General features: G+C 44.9%; 1 protein-coding gene across 17 annotated transcripts in view, besides 1 other annotated feature; it reads left to right on the top strand.

Moving 5' to 3' along the window:
• CDC25C (cell division cycle 25C) overlaps positions 1-11,276 on the top strand; it is a 53,091-nt gene extending 41,815 nt beyond the window's left edge. For 6 of the 17 annotated variants that reach the window (XM_006714739.4, XM_011543761.3, XM_011543759.4 and 3 more), the window contains 7 exons: positions 4,425-4,571; positions 5,801-5,902; positions 6,978-7,040; positions 9,274-9,372; positions 9,911-10,044; positions 10,408-10,519; positions 10,700-11,276. In XM_006714739.4, the coding sequence (XP_006714802.1) occupies positions 4,425-4,571; positions 5,801-5,902; positions 6,978-7,040; positions 9,274-9,372; positions 9,911-10,044; positions 10,408-10,519; positions 10,700-10,849 (807 nt within the window). In that variant the 3' untranslated portion in view covers positions 10,850-11,276. The remainder of the gene's footprint in view (positions 1-4,424; positions 4,572-5,800; positions 5,903-6,977; positions 7,041-9,273; positions 9,373-9,910; positions 10,045-10,407; positions 10,520-10,699) is intronic. The other 11 variants (NM_001287583.2, NM_001318098.2, NM_001287582.2 and 8 more) reach the window with 4 other exon arrangements.
• Positions 21,828-21,917: a silencer, noted in NCBI's record as "silent region_16388". NCBI's record gives its function as "represses an Ori minimal core promoter by ATAC-STARR-seq in GM12878 lymphoblastoid cells {active_cell/tissue: GM12878}" and the evidence as "EXISTENCE:reporter gene assay evidence [ECO:0000049][PMID:35858748]".

The raw sequence follows: 21,919 nt of genomic DNA, 5'->3' as shown, positions 1-21,919 counted from the left end.
TACTCAGGAGGCTGAGACAGGAGAATCATTTGAACCTAGCAGGCAGAGGTTGCAGTGAGCTGAGATCACGCCATTTCGCTCTAAACTGGGCAACACAGCTAGACTCTGTCTCAAAAAAATAAAATACAAATACAAAAATTAGCCAGGGGTGGTGGTGCACGCCTGTAATCCCAACTACTTGAGAGGCTGAGGCAGGGGAATCGCTTGAACTCAGGAGGTAGAGGTTGCAGTGAGCTGAGATCGTGCCACTGCACTCCAGCCTGGGTTCCAGAGGGAGACTCCATCTCAAAAATAAATAAATAAATAAATAAAAATAACTAAAAGAGTAGGAGGTGCCATTAAAGCCATCAAAAATGGAGTAGCTAACTTAACGGAAGCCGACATGAGGTTCAGAAAGATAATGTGGCTAGAGAAGTGACTGTCAGATGCTGCAACATGAAGGCTGTTGATAGCCTTGACAAGAGCAGAAGAGTGGTGCAGACAGAAGCCGGGCTGGCTTATGTGTACTCAAGAGTGTGTAGGCCAGTTTATAAAATAATAATTATTCAATTCAGTTTATAAAATAATAATTATTTAATTAAGCCTTTTAATAGAATCTGCAGGTTGAATCTAGTAAGTTTTCCTCCCTTCTTTTTGGCTTTCTCAGTGTTTAAAAACTCCCATATTTGGAAACTCTCTGGTGATTCCTTAAAGATTGAAAATGGGTAGATGTTGAATGCTATCTAAGCCAGATGATCCTGGGATCTTCCCACACCAGCTTCTGGGAACTGGGAAACTTCTAACTAGCTAGACAGAACTAAAGTACCATCTTCATTATCTCTCCATGGCCTAGCACTTATATCCTTTGCAATCAGTTGACATTTATTTTCATGTAAGTGTATAGGAAAGAAGTAGCTTGCTCTTTCCTTTTTTTTTTTTTTCTTAAGAGAAGACAGGATCTTGCACTATCACCCAGGCTGGAATGCAGTGGCATGATCACAGCTCACTGCAGCCTCAACATCCTGGGCTCAATCGATCCTTCCACTTCAGCCTCCCAAGTAGCTGGGACTACAGGTGCACGCTACCATATCTGGCTAATTATTGTATTTTTTGTAGAGACAAGGTTTCACCATGTTGCCCAAGCTGGTTTTGAACTACTGGACTCAAGCGATTTGGACTCACCTTGGCCTCTCAAAGTGTTGGGATTACAGGTGTGAGCTACCATGCCTGGCCGCTGAAGTAGCTGTTTCTGTTTGCGAAAGTAGTTTTCTGCTATCATTTATTTTTGACATCTTGTCCTTGGACTATATGCAGATGTTAATCACCTTAATTATCACTATATTAGCTACCAGAAACCTAAAACATTGAAACAAGGGAATAGAGATTTGAGAAATAGACCTATGCATATATGTAACTGGTAATTCAGCCAAGATACAAAATAATCAAATGGAGAAAGTACAGTCTTTTTAACAAATTGTGCTGGAGCAATTGGAAATCCATACGTTAAAAGATAAAAGTACTTTAACCCATACCGTACATCATATATTAAAATTAACACAAAATGGATCATAGCTCCAAATCTAAAACCTTAAACCATAAAGCATCTGAAGAAAGGCCTGGCACAGTGGCTCATGCCTGTAATCCCAGCACTTTGGGAGGCCGAGGCTGGTGGATCACCTGAGGTCAGGAGTTCGAGATCAGCCTGACCAACATGGTGAAACCCCATCTCTACTAAAAATAGGAAAATTAGCTGAGCGGGGCCAGGCGCGGTGGCTCATGCCTGTAATCCCAGCACTTTGGAGGGCCGAGGCGGGCAGATCATGAGGTCAGAAGATCGAGACCATCCTGGCTAAGATGGTGAAACCCCATCTCTACTAAAAATACAAAAAATTAGCTGGGCATGGTGGCGGGCGCCTGTAGTCCCAGCTACTCAGGAGGCTGAGGGAGGAGAATGGCATGAACCCGGGAGGCAGAGCTTGCAGTGCGCTGAGGTCGCGCCACTGCACTCCAGCCTGGGTGACAGAGCAAGACTCTGTCTCAAAAAAAAAAAAAAAAAAAAAAATTAGCTGAGTGGTTGGGCACGGTGGCTCACACTTGTAATCCCAGAACTTTGGGAGGCTGAGGTGGATGGATCACGAGGTCAGGAGTTCGACACCAGCCTGACCAACACGGTGAAACCCCGTCTCTACTAAAAATACAAAAGTTAGCTGGGCATGGTGGCAGGCACCTGTAATCCCAGCTACTCGGGAGGCCGAGGCAGGAGAATTGCTGAAACCTGGGAGGTAGAGGTTGCAATGAGCCGAGATCGTGCCACTGCACTCTAGCCTGGGTGACAGAGCTAGACTCCATCTCAAAAAAAAAAAAAAAATTAGCCAAGCATGGTAGTCAGCACCTGTAATGCCAGCTACTCCAGAGGCTGAGGCAAGGAGAATCACTTGAACCTGGGAGGCGGAGGTTGCAATGAGCCGAGATCATGCCATTGCACCCCAGCCTGGGCGACAGAGTGAGACTCTGTCTCAAAAAAAAAAAAAAAAAAATCCAAAGAAAACGGAGACAATTTTTGTGACCTTGAGTTGGCAAAAATTTATTAGATACAATGCTTAAAAATGGATACAGACTGGGCGTGGTGGCTCATGCCTGTAAACCCAGCACTTTGGTAGGCCAAGGCGGATGGATCACTTAAGCCCGGGAGTTCGAGACCAGCCTGGACAACATGGTAAAACCCTCTCTCTATAAAAAATACAGAAATTGGCTGGGCATGGTGATGCGCATCTGTAGTCCCAGTTACTCAGGAGGCTGAGTTGGGAGGATCGCTTGAGCCTGAGAGGCAGAGGTTGCAGTGAGCTAAGATTGTGCCACTGCACTCCAACCAGAGTGACAGCGAGACCCTATCTCAAAAAAAAAAAAAAAAAGATAAGTTTCAATTAGCTAATTAATTCCAAACTCTTAGTAATATGGCTCTTAGCATAATTATTATGGTGTGTTCTAGAGAAGCCCCTTTTGAAATCCTCATCTAGCTTTCCCCTGCCTTCTCAGGGGAAAATTGAAGTTATATGAAGTCCTGTCTGTCATGGAGACCAGGCACCCTACTCCTCAGTGCCTCACCATATCTCCTTTCCTACCCTACCTTTGGTTGATCCATTCATGCATCACTGGCTTCGTGGCCTTGACTGTATCTCTTGGCTTCTTCCTTTTGGGCTTTGGCTTCTGCTACTGCCTAATTATTTCTCCATCTTCCAAGTTAGGCAACCAAGAGAGGGAACCTGATTGGCCTAGATTATTTTTGCTTATTCTAGACCACTAAATAGATGTGTTCAACCAGCAATATGGTCCAGTCATCAGTGTCTGGGGGGTAGGGTGGATGGGGACATAGGGCGATGTTTGGAAGGAGTCTAAGGGTACGTATAATGTGGACGGTACCATCAGCTGGTATCACGAACAAGAGGTAGGACCATGTGTGTGATAAACAACATAATATCCATAGCTGTCATAAAGCAAAATGTTGTTATTCTTATTTCGTTCTTCCAGAAACCATTGATCATCAAGCTGCCTTCCAGTTATGGCTCTCTTATTGTATAGCCCCCCTCCTAAATCAGTCCATAACAGGTAGTGCGATAAGTGTTTAGAGAAGGAGCTTTTGCCTGTTCTCTAGGTGAGAGGTAGAGATCTCAAAGTATGTGGCAACAGAGGATAGAATTGTGGATTAGTTGGAAGGTGTTATCAGAGGTCATTTGATAGACCCTCAACTCTGAATATAGCACCCAAACCATGCCTTTCAAATAAACAACAGTCTATCCTCTTATACTTTAATCTGTTCCTGTGTAAGCAATTCTCAAGGCTAGTTCTTCATGACGTTTGAGCCACTTTTTTTTCCCTGATGGGTTTCATAGTATCCATCCTATAATGGTCAGCATGCTATTTGATTTTAGTGTGTCCTTTTTTCTTGCATGATGCTTCTTTTGCTATTTTTCTTCTTGGCTTTTCATCTTTAGGTTTGTTGAGGTCCTTAAATCCTGATTGTCAATGTCCTAGGATCCCAGAGACAAAATGGACTTATGTTTTTTTTTTTTTTTTTTTTTTTGGTCACATAACTGGAGGGACTGAGCTTGTGTTTGCTTTCTGTTAGAAGAACTGGTGCATCTAAGACAGTCAGCTGCAGAATTTGGTTTGGCTAGTTAAGACGTCCATGGAGATGGAATATCATGCAGTCCAGGTAGAAAGATATTAACGGGCCTATGAAGACAGGTTGCCTACCCAAGGCTTCTCAAACTTGAGAAATCACCTGGGCATCTTGTTAAAATGCAGATTTTAATTCAGTAGGTTTGGGGTGTGGCCTAACATCTGGAAACCTGCATTTCAAAGAAGCTCCCAGGAGATGTTGTTGCTGCAGGTCTGCAGACACACTTGGAGGAGTAAGAACTAGGGGGTTTAATATTCCCAAACAGGTGAGCAGAAGTGGCCTATATCGCTCCCCGTCGATGCCAGAGAACTTGAACAGGCCAAGACTGAAGCAGGTGGAAAAATTCAAGGACAACACAATACCAGATAAAGTTAAAAAAAAGTATTTTTCTGGCCAAGGAAAGCTCAGGAAGGTAAGAACTTTTTAAGATGAAAATCTTGTTCATCTTCTATCTCATGTCTTTGCTTTTCTGGTATGAGGATTGTTTTATTATGCCTTTTTTGTCTTCTTCCTCTTTACTTTTACTTTTTCCTCTTTGTTCTTTCCATCTTTCTGTCTTTTCTACATCTGTATCCACGTGAAATATATATATATATATAAAATATTTATATAACATAGATACATAAAGTATATCTATATTGTACTTTTAGAAATGTTGTCATAGGCCGGGTGCAGTGGCTCACGCCTATAATCCTAGCACTTTGGGAGGCCGAGGCGGGCGGATTGCCTGAGCTCAGGAGTTCAAGACCAGACTGGGCAACACGGTGAAACCCCGTCTCTACTAAAATACAAGAAATCAGCTGGGCGTGGCAGCATGTGCCTGTAGTCCCGGCTACTCAGGAGGCTGAGGCAGGAGAATCGCTTGAACCCGGGAGGTGGAGGTTGCAGTGAGCCAAGATTGTGCCACTGCACTCCAGCCTGGGCAACAGAGCAAGACTCCGTCTCAAAAAAAAAAAAAAAAAGAGAAATGTTGTCATCATACCGTCTTCCCAACCCTTTTTCTTAAGATCTGAAAGAATACAAGGGAACTTTGGTATGGATATTTTACTGCTGTTTTACATGCAGTCTGACAGAAACAACATCATATAGCAGGTTGGTTTTGTGGAAAGCAACTTCTGAAAAACTTAGCCTTTGTCCTTTACCCTCCCCAACTTTAAAAAAATTAAATAGATGGGAGGATCACTTAAGGTCAGAAGTTCAAGACCAGCCTGGTCAATATAGCATGACCCCATCTCTAATAAAAAAAAATAAAATAAAAAATTAAAATTCTAAAATCTTTGGATATTTTATAAAATCAACTTATTTATTTATTTATTTATTTTCCCCTGAGATGGGGTCTCACTCTGTCACCCAGGCTGGATTGCAGTGGCATGGTCTTGACTCACTGCAGCCTCAATATTTATTTATTATTAAAAATAATAAATAAACAAATGGAGTCTCACTCTGTCTCCCAGACTGGAGTGCAGTGGTGCAATCGTAGCTCACTATAGCCTTGGCCTCCTGGGCTCAAGTGATCTCCCTACCTCAGCCTCCCATGTAGCTAGGATTACAGATGTGCGCCACCATGGCCCACTCCATCCACTGGTTTTTAAACCTTTAACATGAGGATTGGGTGTGGGGTGGGAATCTTGTCATCTTCAGGGCTTATGTTTAAAGAAGACAGTCTCTCTGTGTGACATTACTATCACTCAGATGCTGGAGGAAGATTCTAACCAGGGGCACCTGATTGGTGATTTTTCCAAGGTGAGTTTGGCTACACCCATCCTGTATTTCAGTGAGTCATTTTGGATCTGAATCTTCTCTGTTTGCCGAGAATGCCTGGTGTAAATATGCATCCTCACCAAGTACTCTTTGGTAACCTGACAGTGCTCTAGTGGTAGATCCAGGCCCTAAGCCTTTCCAGAGAGAAAGTATTTCTTATTCTTCTGGGAAGATCCAGAACAGGGGAAAGTATGAGACTTTTTACCTTTTTTCTGTTTAAAAACATATTTTAAAATTATGTAAATAATACTTGGTTGTTACAGAAAAAGTAGAAAATGAAGAAATTTATCCCAAACTTTATTAACCAGGGTAATATTGCTTAGTATATACTCTTTTTTTCCCCCCTACTGTCTGTGTAATTGCAGAAGGTACATATTCTTACAGATTTTTTTCTGTGTTTTCACAAACACATATACAAATACAGTTTTTGCTTTTCTACAAAAACAGTTTATATTGTTTTGTTATCTGTTGTTTTTCCTCTCATTTAATAATTATATCAGGGGCATCTTTTTTCATATTAATAAGCAGTTATGCTTCATTCTTTCTTTTTTTAAGATTCAAGGTCTTGATCTGTTGCCCAGGCTGGAGTACATTGGCATGATCATAGCTCACTTCAGCCTCGAGCTCCTGGCCTCAAGAAATCCTCTCTCTCCTTGGCTTCCCAAAGCACTGAGGTTACAGGCATGAGCCACCATGCCCAGCCCATTTCATTTTAATAGCTCCATATTATTTCTTTTTTTTTTTTTTTTGGCTGCTCATAATTTCTTCATAAATCCCTTCTTGTAAGATATTTGGTTTTACAATTTTTTCTTATGAATGATACCAAGATGAATATATTTGTAGAGAAATCTAAAACTTCGTACACATCCTTGATTTGTTCTTTAGGATCAGTTCTTAGAAATGGACTTGATGTATATGCACTTTATAGAGACACTGATTTTTTTGAAGGCCTCTGGGGTTTTAAGGGTCACTTGGAAAGAAGGACAAAATAAGGGTCTTTGATCTCAAACTTGGGTGTGGAATACTTGCTGTTATTTCAGCTCTTGTGTATTTCTAGGTATGTGCGCTGCCAACCGTGTCAGGGAAACACCAAGATCTGAAGTATGTCAACCCAGAAACAGTAAGCAGATTTCTGGAGATGGTAACTGGTTACATAAGCTACCATCTGGTCTCTTCTGTCCCTAAAATGCCCATTTCCATTTGTATTTCTTTCACTGTGTTCACTCACACAGGCTCCTTATTCAACTGAAGTTATATTGAAGGACTCATTTTTTTCCCCATTCTTCTCTCTCCTTCGTTTTTAGTTAAACAAATGATACATAGTTTTTGTAAAAGGGAAAAAGGGAGGGGTCAGGCATGGTGGCTCACGCCTGAAATCCTAGCATTTTGGGAGGCTGAGGCAGGCAGATCTCAGGCACTTGAGGCAGGGAATTCGAGACCACCCTGGCCAACATGGCGAAACCCCATCTCTAATAAAAATACAAAAAAATTAACCAGGCGTGGTAATGTGTGCCTATAATCCCAGCTACTTGGGAGGCTGAAGCACAAGAATTGCTTGAACCCCAGTTGGGGAGGTTGCAGTGAGCAGAGATCGTGCCACTGTACTCCAGCCTGGGCGACACAGCGAGACTGTCTCAAAAAATAATAATTACTTAAGAAAAAAGGGAGAAAGAAAGGAAAATAAAAAATCACACACAAGAAATGGTCTCAATTAAGGTCTCAATTAGGGTGACCATGCACCCTCGTTTACATTTTACAATCCCATTTTCATCTATTAGTGAGGGTAATTATTAATAGTGTTTGCTTTCATTCTCAAAAGTCTCCCAGTTTGTACAAAAATTATTTGGTCACCATACCCACAATCTCATCACCAGAGATAACCACTAGTCATATTTTCCTATGGCCTTCCAGATTTTATTTTATTTTTAGACATGGAGTTTCGCTCTTGTTGCCCAGGCTGGAGTGCAATGGCACAATCTCGGCTTGCTGCAACCTCTGCCTCCCGGAGGTCATTCTCCTGCCTCAGCCTCCCAAGTAGCTGGGATTACAGGTGCCAGCCATCACACCGACTAATTTTTGTATTTTTAGTAGAGACGGGGTTTTACTATGTTGGTCAGGCTGGTTTCAAACTCCTGTCCTCTGGTGATCCACCCTCCTCAGCCTCCCAAAGTGCTGGGATTACAGGTGTGAGCCACTGCGCCCAGCCCCAGATTTTATTCTAGCATATGTTTTATAGAAATGGGATCATGGGCCTAGCACAGCTCACACCTGTAATCCCAGCACTTTGAGAGGCCAAGGCAGGCGAATCACCTGAGGTTGGGAGTTCGAGACGAGTCTGACCAACATGGAGAAACCCCGTCTCTACTAAAAATATAAAATTAGCTGGGTGTGGTAGCGCATGCCTGTAATCCCAGCTACTCGGGAGGCTGAGGCAGGAGAATTGCTTGAACCCGGGAGGCAGAGGTTGCGGTGAGCCAAGATGGCACCATTGTACTCCAGCCTGGGCAACAAGGGCGAAATTCCATCTCAAAAAACAAAAAAAAAGGATCATGATGAACGTATAGTATTGCAATTTGCTTAGTGAGACATTATAGACATCTTTCTATATCAATAAGGTATCTATATTATCATTTTAATGGCTATATAATGCCGCTCTATTCTACTGACATGTACAATTTATTTTACCAAACCCCTATTATTGAATATTGAAGTTATTTCTAATATATTGATAATATAAAACAATGCTGAGATGAATATAATTGTGCCTACATCTTTGTGTACTTTTCCTGTTTACTTAAGATGTTAGAAATTGCTGAGTCAAAGTGTGATTACATTTATTTGTATATGTATTTACAAAGTTCCCTTCAGAAAGGCTGAACCAATTTGCACTCCTACAAGTAGCTTCAGTTTCTTCCTTCCTTTAGGTATCAACCTTTCCCTTCCATATCCTTTCCTGAAAGACTTACTTTCTTCCTTTTTGATGGTGGGTAGGGAACCATTTTGCATTTCTTCCTGCAATTTCAAGCTCTCTAGCTGCTGCCTCTGCCACTGCAGAAGTCCTTGGGCATCTCCTGAGTCCAGCCATGCCTATCCCCAGATGGGTAGCCTGAATATGGTTTTCCTTGGTATCTTGTCAGTGCCAGCTATTTTGGTTCTCTAAAAGGGCCACTTCCTGTTTCATTCTCTTTTGTGGAGTGGGGCTGAATCATTGCCACATATCAAATATGGGGTGACTTTGGAGGCTGGACATACAGTGGACAGAACAGGAGTATGCTTGTAAGGAACTGTGTCATTGACCCTTCTCTCCCTCAGAGTGGCAGTGAGCAGAATATTCAGTCATTGTTTCTGTCCAGGTGGCTGCCTTACTGTCGGGGAAGTTCCAGGGTCTGATTGAGAAGTTTTATGTCATTGATTGTCGCTATCCATATGAGTATCTGGGAGGACACATCCAGGTGAGACGACATTGTGGCCATTAGTAGGGGAGGGCTGGAGATAACTCTTTATTGAGAAGAGTCTGTGGACAAAGGGGTCTATGAACTCTAGAGTCAGGACAAAGATTACATATTTGAAGCACCTCAAGGCTGAGGTCCTCATTGTTTTAATTCTGTATACCTTAAGCAGGTTACTTTCCCTTTCCCTCCTAGATCTATCTCCCTCTTTTCTGTAGGAGCCAAGGGGTCCTACCTAGAAATAAAAACATTAATCCAAGGACTGAAGCACTTTGCAAACACTTACTATTCATGAACATTCCTCGCAGTGATCTCTATACTTCCAGTGGTTCAGGTCTATAAACATTTATTGACCATCTACAAGCTCTATGCCAGGCGTTCAGGGTATATACAGAGATATACTTAGACCCCTGCCCTAAAGGTGCTTATAGTCCAGCTTTTCTGGTCCACATTATCCCAGGTTGGCGTCTCAGTCATTTCTAAGTATTGGCACTGTCTATAAGCCCCTGAGGAAATACTTACTAAAATTCTTCTTCTACAGGGAGCCTTAAACTTATATAGTCAGGAAGAACTGTTTAACTTCTTTCTGAAGAAGCCCATCGTCCCTTTGGACACCCAGAAGAGAATAATCATCGTGTTCCACTGTGAATTCTCCTCAGAGAGGGGCCCCCGAATGTGAGTGTCTAAATGGGGTCTGGCGGGTGATGGAAATGGATTTTGAGTTGGACTTCCCACACCAGTTCAGACAGAGACTGACTGGATTCTACAGTTTGAAGAATGTTAGGGAGGTTGAAGGAAGACGTTTCTAAAATTGAAAAGTTTGAAACAATAAAGGAAAAGGGATTGAGAATGAGGCTGCAGTGGAGGAAAGGAGGAAGGGTGGTACTACTTGGACCTTTTTTTGCAAACACAGGGAGATTGGAAAGTCCTTTTTGAGGTTGGCAATAGTCTACTCCTCTCCCCCCTCCCCAGTGAATGGCCCCTGGGATCCTGACCTTGTTTCTTTCCACCCCACCCATCTCTGGGTTCTCTCTAAAGGTGCCGCTGTCTGCGTGAAGAGGACAGGTCTCTGAACCAGTATCCTGCATTGTACTACCCAGAGCTATATATCCTTAAAGGCGGCTACAGAGACTTCTTTCCAGAATATATGGTAAAGGGTGGGGCATGCGGGGAGCCAAACTTTAACAACTCAACTCCCAGGGCCTGCAAAGCCTTCAGAGAAGAAACTGCTGCTCCTCCTTAGCCACTGCCAGCAGCAGCATCTCTATTATCCTTCATAGGTAGAGTTCAGGAGTCTAGAGAATCCCTTACTCTGTTCCTTACCTTTCAGGAACTGTGTGAACCACAGAGCTACTGCCCTATGCATCATCAGGACCACAAGACTGAGTTGCTGAGGTGTCGAAGCCAGAGCAAAGTGCAGGAAGGGGAGCGGCAGCTGCGGGAGCAGATTGCCCTTCTGGTGAAGGACATGAGCCCATGATAACATTCCAGCCACTGGCTGCTAACAAGTCACCAAAAGACACTGCAGAAACCCTGAGCAGAAAGAGGCCTTCTGGATGGCCAAACCCAAGATTATTAAAAGATGTCTCTGCAAACCAACAGGCTACCAACTTGTATCCAGGCCTGGGAATGGATTAGGTTTCAGCAGAGCTGAAAGCTGGTGGCAGAGTCCTGGAGCTGGCTCTATAAGGCAGCCTTGAGTTGCATAGAGATTTGTATTGGTTCAGGGAACTCTGGCATTCCTTTTCCCAACTCCTCATGTCTTCTCACAAGCCAGCCAACTCTTTCTCTCTGGGCTTCGGGCTATGCAAGAGCGTTGTCTACCTTCTTTCTTTGTATTTTCCTTCTTTGTTTCCCCCTCTTTCTTTTTTAAAAATGGAAAAATAAACACTACAGAATGAGAGGTGTGATTGTGAGCCTAGCCTGCTCCTAGAAGATCTGTCTACAGAGGAGATCACCAAGTTAGACTACTTCAGACATACTATCTTTATTCATAGCTGAGGCCAACATGCTTTTCTCTAAACCAGTAATTCTTAGGCCGTGGCTCACACCTGTAATCCTGGCACTTTGGGAGGCCGAGGCGGGTGGATCACTTCAGGTCAGGAGTTCGAGGCCAACATGGTGAGACCCTATCTCTACTAAAAATACAAAAATTAGCCAGGCATGGTGGCGTGTGCCTGTAGTCCCAGCTACTCAGGAAGCTGATGCAGGAGAATCGCTTGAACTCAGGAGGTGAAGGTTGCAATGAGATCGTGCCACCGCACTCCAGCCTGGGCAACAGAGAGAGACTGTCTCAAAAAACAAATACCAAACAACCAGTAATTCTCAAAGTTTGGACCCTAGATCATCAACATCATCTGAACTTGTTTGAAATACAGATGTTCAGGCCTCACCCCAGACCTCTTAAATCAGAACTTGTGAGGTTAGGGCACAGAAATCTGGGTTTTAAAAATCTCCCTTTTCAGTTAATTCTAATACATGGTAAGGCTTAAGAACCAGTGCTCAGTAATCCCAGCACTTTGGGAGGCCAAGGCAGGCAGATCACTTGACGTCAGAAGTTCGAGACCAGCCTGACCAACATGGTGAAACCCCATCTCTACTAAAAAAAATACAAAAATTAACCAGGCATGGTGGCACACACCTGTAATCCCAGCTACTAGGGTGGCTGAGGCAGGAGAATTGCATGAACTCAGGAGGTGGAGGTTGCAGTGAGCCAAAATCCACTGCACTCTAGCCTGGGCAACAGAGTAAGACTCCATCTCAAAAAAAAAATGAACCAATGCTCTGGAATTAAGGTAAGCCTTTCAAACAGTTTTCTTCAGCAATGTCCTGGGCTTTCCTTTCCTAGATCATTCCATGGTATGCGTTACTAAAAGTGCACCACAGACTCAGCAGCATGTGGTATCTAGACATTCTCTAAGGCAAATGACAGATCTCAGCTGGGCTCAAAGGTTCCCTCTTGGCAGTGGCTCACACCTGTAATCCCAGCACTTTGGGAGGCTGAGGCTGGCGGAACACCTGAGGTCAGGAGTTCAAGACCACCCTGGCTAACATGGCAAAACCTCGTCTATACTAAAAATACAAAAATTAGCCAGGCATCGTGGTGGCTGCCTGTAATCCCAGCTATTCGGGAGACTGAGGCAGGATAATCACTTCAACTTGGGAGGCAGATGTTGCAGTGAACAAGATTTTTCACTGCACTCCGGCCTGGGTGTCAAAGCAAGACTCCATCTCAAAAAAAAAAAAAAAAAGTTCCCTATCTATAGCCTTAGGGGGGTTTTGACTTTTAAGTCTTTTCTCCACTCCATTTCACGTCTCACAAAGACAAGTTTTAGGATTTAGGATGGTTGGAAGTAGAGATTTGTGATATATGAAGATAGGAATAAAACAAAGCAAGATCCATTAGACTTCAGGAAGATTTTTTAACTGTACTCTTCTGCAGTATGCCAGGGTTTCCTTTCTTGGAGCTTTTTAATATGAATAGGCCTTTATCTGTAGTAAGGTGTGGCACTACTTGGTCTTGGGTGGCAGTAGAACTGACTGAACATTGTCATTCTCTGGTATTAACCTAGTAGGACTGATAGCCCAGGACGGAACAGGACGAAGCCCTCTACAGCCTAGGCTGAGACAGAACAGAGACAAACATACCCTCTTCCCAGGCTCTGGAACAGAGACACTTTTTTAAAGTGAGTGGGAGGGAAGGGGGGTTGTAGCCATAGGGCGGCCCATGCACGTGCCTGAGTGGTTGGACTGGCTTTTAATTTTTTTATTTGACAAGGTTTGCACATGCTCTTGCCCTAGAGTGTCACATGCATGCTTCACAGCAGAGGGCACTGCTGTTTTCTCCAAGCCATCCTGCTGAAGTCTGTAGCTTCCATTCCTAGCTACTGCCTGTCTGTCAAAAAGGAAGCTGTCTCTGTGGCCTTCTCCCTAATCCCTTGAACTCAAAGCCCAGAAGGTCTAGGGGAAAGAGAAAAGCTGCTGCTACGTTAGGTGGAGATGGCCAAAGGAAAGATGCTGCTCCTCTGCCCCACCCACACACGTGCCCCTATAGGAATTCCTAGTAGCCAGAAAAGAAAACTGCTTGAAGCACCTCTTCGAAGTGTGAGGAGAGGTCCTTAACTCACTGCCTACCCTAGTGGGTCATTTCCATTTCCTGATAATTCTCCCCAGAAGGCTAGAACCAAGTCCCAACATAGATAGAGATTGATGTACATGTGCCCACTAGTCAGTAGTCTTAAGTGGAAAATCTGAGTTGCAAAACAAAACACTAAGGCTTAATTATCTTCCTCATGGAAAATTGTATTTTCACCCAAGTCAACATTTTTTGGTATTTTTTATTTTATTTTATTTTATTTGAGACAGAGTCTTGCTCTGTCACCAGGCTGAAGTGCAGTGGCGCGATCTCAGCTCACTGCAACCTCCACCTCCCGGGTTCAAGCAATTCTCCTGCCTCAGCCTCCCGAGTAGCTGGGATTACAGGCATGCACCACCACGCCTGGCTAATTTTTGTATTTTTAGTAGAGACAGGGTTTCACCATGTTGGTCAGGCTAGTCTTGAACTCCTGACCTCGTGATCCACCCACATCGGCCTCCCAAAGTGCTGGGATTACAGGCGTGAGCCACCACGCCTGGCCTAATATAAGCCCACTGATTTCTTGTAATATCCTCTCATTGTATAGGGACTATATGATTTGATTCATGTTATTTTCAGGAATAACAATAGTAGCTAACATTTTTCAGGTGCTTACTGTATACAAGGCTATCTCTAAACTCATATATATATATATATATATATATATATATATATATATATATAAACTCCTATATAAATACACACTAATTTAATTTTCACAAGCCTGTGAAAGAGGTATTCATTATTATGAGCATTTCTTTATGAAGATAAAGAAATTGAGGAACAGAGGGATTAACTCTTTTTTATTTTATTTTATTTTTTTTTGAGACAGGGTCTCACTTGTTGCCCAGGCTGGAGTGCAGTGGTACAATCTCAGCTCACTGAAACTTCCACCTCCTAGGCTCAAGCAATCCTCTCACCTCAGCTTCCCAAGTAGCTGGGACTACAGGCATCTGCCACCACACCTGGATAATTTTTGTATTTTTTTCTTTTCTTTTTTTTTTTTTTTTTTTTTGAGACGGAGTCTCACTCTGTCGCCCAGGCTGGAGTGCAGTGGCGTGAACTCGGCTCACTGTAAGCTCCGCCTCCTGGGTTCACACCATTCTCCTGCCTCAGCCTCCCGAGTAGCTGGGACTACAGGCACCCACCACCATGCCCGGCTAATTTTTTTTTTATTTTTTAGTTAAGACGGGGTTTCACCATGTTAGCCAGGATGGTCTTGATCTCCTGACCTCATGATCCGCCCACCTCGGCCTCCCAAAGTGCTGGGATTACAGGCGTGAGCCACCGCGCCTGGCCTGCATTTTTTTTTCTAATTTGAATTTTTTTTTTTTTTTTGGAGACACAGTCTCGCTCTGTTAACAACCTGGAGTGTAGTGGCGCGATCTCGGCTCACTGCAACCTCTGCCTCCCAGGTTCAAGCGATTCTGCCTCAGCCTCCTGAGTAGCTGGGACTACTGGCATGTACCACCATGCCCGGCTAATTTTTTGTATCTTTAGTAGAGAAGGGGTTTCACCATGTTGGCCAGGCTGGTCTCGAACTCCTGGCCTCATGATCCATCGGCCTCAGCCTCCCAAAGTGCTGGGATTACAGTTGTGAGCCACCGCACCCAGCCCTCTCCCTTCTAACTTTCATGGAGGCAATCTGAGCTCTAGTCTTCAATTGGAGCCTCCCAAAGTGCTGAGATTACAGGCGTGAGCCACTGCACCTAGTCAAGTAATAAGATCTCAAAGCTAATTAATGGTGGAGTAGGGATTTGACCCAAGACAGTATGGCTCCAGAGCCTGTCCACTTCATGGATTTTGCTGTTACCAAACCTTCATCAAAGAACAGTGTGCCTGGCCAGGTGCAGTGACTCACATCTGTAATCCTAGCACTTTAAGAGGCCAAAGTGGGAGGATCCCTTGAGACCAGGAGTTTAAGACCAGCCTGGGCAACATAGCAAGACCCCATCTCTATAGAATAAAAATCAACTTAGCTGGGCATGGTGGTGCACACTTGTAGTCATAGCTACTGGGGAGGGTCAGGCAGGAGGATGGCTTCAGCCCAGGAGGTTGAGGTTGCATTGAACTATGATCCATCCACTATACTCTAGCCTGGATGACAGCAAGACCCTGTCTAAAAAAAAAAAACCACTGTGCCTTTCCAGAGTTGGCCCTGTATTGGGTGTTAAATCTATAAGAGCCTCAATGGTAAGCTCTTGAGAATTTAGGGCCATAAGGGTTGCTTTGGCTTGAGAGATAAGGATATGAGCAGGCACTAAAACCCCAGCCCAGAGACCTCAGTATGAGGCTATGTAGGGGGTGTGCTCGGCATTGGTGTCCTTGCACTGGTATTTATTCATCAGGAGGTAAAGAAATATTGAACAGAAATGTTTTGAGCTAAAAACTGCTTCTCGAGGCTGGGCGCTGTGGCTCATGCCTATAATCCCAACACTTTGGGAGCCTGAGGAGGGTGGATCACCTGAGGTCAAGAGTTTGAGAGGAGCCTGGCCAATGTGGTGAAACCCCATCTCTACTAAAAATACAAACAGGCCAGGCATGATGGCTCACACCTGTAATCCCAGCACTTTGGGAGGCCAAGGTGGGCAGATCACGAGGTCAGGAGATCGAGACCATCCTGGCCAACATGGTGAAACCCCGTCTTTATTAAAAATACCCAGCTACTCGGGAGGCTGAGGCAGGAGAAGTGCTTGAACCCAGGAAGTGGAGGTTGCAGTGAGCCAAGATTGGGCCACTGCACTCCAGCCTGGTGACGGAGACTCTGTCTCAAAAAAAAAAAAAAAAAAAATTAGCCAGGAGTAGTGGCAGGCACCTGTAATTCCAGCTACCAGGAGGCTGAGGCAGGAGAATCACTTGAACCTGGGAGGTGGAGGTTGCAGTGAGCTAAGATCACACCATTGCACTCCAGCCTGGGTGACAACAGCAAGACTCTGTATCAAAAACAAACAAAAACCTGCTTCTTGGGCTAGGTGCGGTGGCTTAAGCCTATAATCCCAGTACTTTGGGAGGCTGAGGTGGGAGGATTGCTTGAATCCAGGAGTTTGAGACCAGCCTGGGCAATATAGTCAGACCTCTGTCTCTACAGAAAATTTAAGAATTAGCCAGGTGCAGTGGTGCATGTCTGTAGTCCCAGCTACTCAGGAGGCTGAGGTGGGAGGATTGCTTGAACCCGGGAGGTGGAGGTTGCAGTGAGCTGAGATTGCACCACTGCACTCCAACCTAAGTGACAGAGGGAGACTCTGTCTCAAAAAATATACATAAATTTTTTTTTTGCAATTGCTTCTTGTCAATCTCAGCCCAGGACCTGGGTGACCTCTGCCATAGAGAAGGGAATGTATTAAGCCATTCTTCCTTTGCTATAAAGAAATACCCTGTAATCCTAACACTGGGAAACTGAGGCTGGAGGATCACTTGAGCCTAGGAGTTTGAGACCATCTGGGCAACATGGTGAAACCCTGTCTTTACGAAGAATTTTTTTTTTTTAAGATGGAGTTTCGCTGGGTGCGGTGGCTCACGCCTGTAATCCCAGCACTTTGGGAGGCCAAGGCGGGCGGCTCACCTGAGGTCAGGAGTTCGAGACCAGCCTGACCAATATGATGAAACCCCATCTCTACTAAAAATACAAAAATTAGCCGGGCATGGTGGCATGTGCCTGTAATCCCAGCTACCTGGGAGGCTGAGACAGGAGAATCACTTGAACCTGAGAGCTGGGAGGCGGAGGTTGCAGTGAGCCGAGATCGCGCCGTTGCACTCCAGCCTGGGCAACAAGAGCGAAACTCCGTCTCAAAAAAAAAAAATGGAGTTTTGCTCTTGTTGCCCAGGCTGGAGTGCAATGGCACAATCTTGGCTTACTGCAACCTCCGCCTCCCGGGTTCAAGTGATTCTCCTGTCTCAGCCTCCCAAGTAGCTGGGATTACAGGCGCCTGCCACCATGCCTGGCTAATTTTTTTGTATTTTTAATAGAGACAGGGTTTCACCATGTTGGTCAAGCTAGTCCCAAACTCCTGACCTCAGGTGATCCACCTGCCTTGGCTTCTCAAAGTGCTGGGATTACAGGCATGAGCCACTGCGTCTGGCCTTCTACGAATAATTTTTAAAAATTAGCCAGGTGTGGTGGTGTGCACCTGTAGTCCCACCTACTTGAGAGGCTGAAGTGGGAGGATCACTAGAGCATGTGAAGTTGAGGCTGTGGTGAGCCATGATTGCACCACTGTGCTCCAGCCTGGGCAGTAGAGTGAGACCCTGTCTCAAAAAAAAAAAAAAAAAAAGGAAGAAAGAAAAAGAAAAAAAATACCTGAGACTGGGTAATTTTTTTTTTTTTTGAGACAGAGTCTTGCTCTGTCACCCCTGCTGGAGTGCAGTGGCATGATCTCAGCTCACTGCAAGCTCTGCCTCCTGGGTTCATGCCATTCTCCTGCCTCAGCCTCCCGAGTAGCTGGGACTACAGGTGCCCGCCACCACGTCAGGCTAATTTTTTTTTTTCATTTTTAGTAGAGATGGGGTTTCACCGTGTTAGCCAGGATGGTCTCAATCTCCTGACCTCATGATCCGCCCATCTCGGCCTCCCAAAGTGCTGGGATTACAGGCGTGAGCCACCGCGCCCGGCTTTTTTTTTTTTTTGGAGACAGGGTCTCACTGTGTCACCCAGGCTATAGTGTGGTGGCATGATCTTGGCTCACTGCAACCTCTGCCTTAGCCTCCCAAGTAGCTGGGACTACAGGCCGACACCACCATGCCTGGCTGACCACCATGCTTGCCTGGGAGACTGAACAATTTATAAGGAAAAGAAGCTTAATTAGCTCATGGTTCTGCAGGCTTTATGGGAAGCATGGTGTTGGCATCTGCTCAGCTCCTGGGTAGGCCTCTGGAAGCTTACAATCATGTCAGAAGGTGAAGGAGAAGCAGACATGTCACATATCCAGAGCAGGAGCAAGAGAGGGAGGGAGTTATGGGAGGAGGTGCCACACACTTTTAAATGACTGGATCTCTTGTGAACTCAGTGACAGCTCACTTATCCCCAAGAGAATGGCCCAAGCCATTCATGAAGGATCCACCCCCATGATCCAGACACCTCCACCAGGCCCCACCTCCAACATTAGGGATTACATTTCATCATGAGATTTGGGTGGGGACAAATATCCAAACTATATTAAGGAGGAATATTTCCCTTTCTTTATCAGGAGTATAAAGTAGGAGGCATGGGGGATTCTCTCCCTGTTCTGTTCAGGCATAGGTTAAGGAAACACCAATTCCTTTAAACATATGCATCTGGAGTTGCCAATTCTGAGTATCACAGTTGTTAAAATATGACACAGTCCCTGCCCTCAAGAAATTGACAAGGTAGAAAAATAAAAAATGGCTCTTTTTGTTTCCATCCCTACAAGCACTCTGGTCTAGTAGTATATTCAGCAAAAGGAGCAAAAAGTGCCACTTCCAGCTCCAAATCAGCAGGTCGGGTGGTGGGGTCTGGCCAAGTTCACACACAGAATAATTAACTCCTGCATGCTACCTGGGATGATATTTATTCGATGCTTGCTATATGCCAGGTATAATGCTACACCTTTTTTTTTCTTTTCTTTTTTTTTTTTTGAGTCGGAGTCTCGCTCTACTGCCCAGGCTGGAGTGCAATAGCATGATCTTGGCTCACTGCAACCTCCGCCTCCTGGGTTCAAGCAATTCTTCTGCCCCACTGAGCCTCCCGAGTAGCTGGGAATACAGGCATGTGCCACCATGCCCGGCTAATCTTTGTAATTTTAGTAGAGATGGGGTTTCATCATATTGGCCAGGCTGGTCTTGAACTCCTGACCTCGTGATCCGCCCACCTTGGCCTCCCAAAGTGCTGGGATTACAGGCGTGAGCCACCGCGCCCAGCCTACACCTTCATTTAAATACTATACTCATTTAATCCTCACAATGTGAAATAGATACTATTATCCTTAATTTTACAGGTGAAGAAATGGAAGCACAGAAAAATTAAGTGACTTGCCCAAGGTCATCCAGCTAGTGTCGGCATTTGAATCTAGGCAGTCTGTAAAGCTTGTGGTCTTAACTATTTATTATACTGCTAACATCCTGGATTAGGATAGCAGCAGGAATTAAAGCTCAATGGAGAGAGAGAGGACTTGAGAGAAGGTAGAATCCATGTAATCTGACCATAAGAGGAGAAAATTGAGATTACAAGTGAAAGTGGAATAAGATACAGGGTCTTTGGGCATTTGAGTTGCAATCAGTGGATTGTAACACCCTCCCCGAGCAGGATTTGTGTCTTAATCATTTTGCACCTAGCATAAAGCTGGGCTCATAATCATTCTCAAAACACATTATTGAATTGAATGATGGATGAGTAACATCATCTCTGTAGAAAGGACTGGCTCATTTGTCATTGTCCACAAGGGGCAATGCTGCTTATCTAGCAGGTGTTGGCAGTCACAGAGGACATGGTTGGTGGAGAGGGTGTGCTGGAGGGCTGTCAATATTAGTCTTGGAGTCATATTTATTTGCAGAGCTTCTCCAATCCTCATTAAAGGCCCAATGATATGAGGCTCTCCACCCCTGTACCCAGACAGAAATATGCACCAGACACTTTATTTTCTCTCATGAAAAGGCTGGCCTGTTACAGGTGGGATTGGTCATTGCTCCCAGCCCGTCAGCTTGATACTGCATTCTTGGTCTATTCTGTGGGGACAGCCCTGGAATAGACACTGAGTATCTATCAGAGTAGGCACCCTGAGCAAACTTCCTTTCCCAAACCCTCTTCCTGCCCATAACATGATTTGGCTTGGGCTGGAGGAGGGGGAGGGCAGAGGAGACACCCCTTGACCACCTCACATCTTTGTTGGTTCATGGGTCTCAGCCCTTTCCTATCATCCCAAAGAGCCTGAAATTGTTACATTTTGCTTTATAAATTCCTTTCTTAAGTATTGTCAGTTTCAAAAAAAAAAACCCAAAAAACGATTGTCTGCCTGTAATAGCAGGTGTGAGAGAAAATGAGGTGCCTGGAGCATATTTCTCTCTGGCAATGGGGTAGAGGGCCTGACATCATGGGGCCTTTAATGGTAGCCCCCCAGCTTCATGTTCCCTCACCTTTCTGGAGAGGAGGGCTTGGGAAAGGCACATGGAGATAGGGTGGAGCTGGGGGAAAACAGGCCTTGTACAAAAGCTGAGTAGCCAGATGTTCACTTTTACAGCTCTTCTGTAAAACTGGCAGGGCAGATATAGATTAAAACGAAGGACAAACTCCATTTAAAGTGCATTACAGCTCAGGAACCAGCACCCCCTGGGCAGGAGAAGGGAGGGAAGGGCACAGAGGCCACATCAGTCTCCTTCCTTATCTAGGGCCACATGTCTCTCTCCTAGCTTTGCCAAGGGTGATTTACACCCCCAGCTGGAATGACTCTCTTTCTGGGCTGATTACATCGGCAAATGCCCCCCAGAGGCCACAGCAGGATGGCCATATTCAGAAGCAGCAGCCAATAAATCTCAGAGGTTTATATTGCGATTCTCAGTACTCCCTGCTGGCCCTCTGCCAGGCTGGCTGTGGAAGTAAGGAGGGGGTCAAGTTAGAGGGTTAGGGGATGAAACCCTCCACTTCCTTTCATCACCCTCTTCTCCTTCTCTCTTTCTATGCGCTGCTTAGTTCTCATTCTTCCAAGCCATTCTGCTTCTGGCTTTATCCTGGGATCTTGTGGGAATCAGGCCCAGGCCCAATAAATACCCTTATCCTTATGGGTAGACGTCCTGTGTTCTGGGCACAGATGTGTTTCTACCTAGTTGTTTAATCCTGATAGAGTAGCTTGCTCTCCGAAAGTCTCATCATGTGAAAAGGATGGGCTCCTAAATGGTCTCTCCAGGCACCTTCCTCAGTGAGCTTTGGTCCAAGGAAATCTCTGCTATTTAGTGGAGAGTTTAATCTTCCATCTTCCCTCACGACACCATCGGGGCTGAATTTTGGAATCTAATGCCCCAGGTCTGCTCCCCCAGCAAAGCCATTCCACCTGTCTGCGACCCATCTTTGCAGCATCTTGAGCTTAATAACCACCCAATCTTACCCTAGAAGACACTTAGGAGAGGAAAAAACGAGATCATAGATGTGCAAATTCTAAGAAAAATACTAGAAATGCAAGTGCCCTTGTGTTGGCTTGTTCAAGTTTTGTTACAAAATCTCTTTTGTGGTGGTGTCTGTTCTTTGATGTGTGGGTGAGTGGGATCCAGAAAGTGAGAAAGGGTGCTTTTCTTGGAGAAATATTTGGTTCTCCTAGATGGCGAGTTTCCAGCGGCAGCTTCCACAATGTCTTGCTAGTCGAACTTGTCAGACAGCAGGTGGGCCGCCTCGGAAAGAGCAACCTCTTCCGCACCAAGCCCGGCGGCTCCCGGGGCGCCGGCCCTCCCCCGCCCCCACCCCCGCGGTCCCTC

The sequence above is a fragment of the Homo sapiens genome, chromosome 5 (assembly GCF_000001405.40).
Source record: "Homo sapiens chromosome 5, GRCh38.p14 Primary Assembly".
In the NCBI taxonomy this organism is placed as follows: domain Eukaryota; kingdom Metazoa; phylum Chordata; class Mammalia; order Primates; family Hominidae; genus Homo; species Homo sapiens.
The sequence above is the reverse complement of the archived record's forward strand: the minus strand, read 5'-3'. Positions and strand labels throughout refer to the sequence as shown.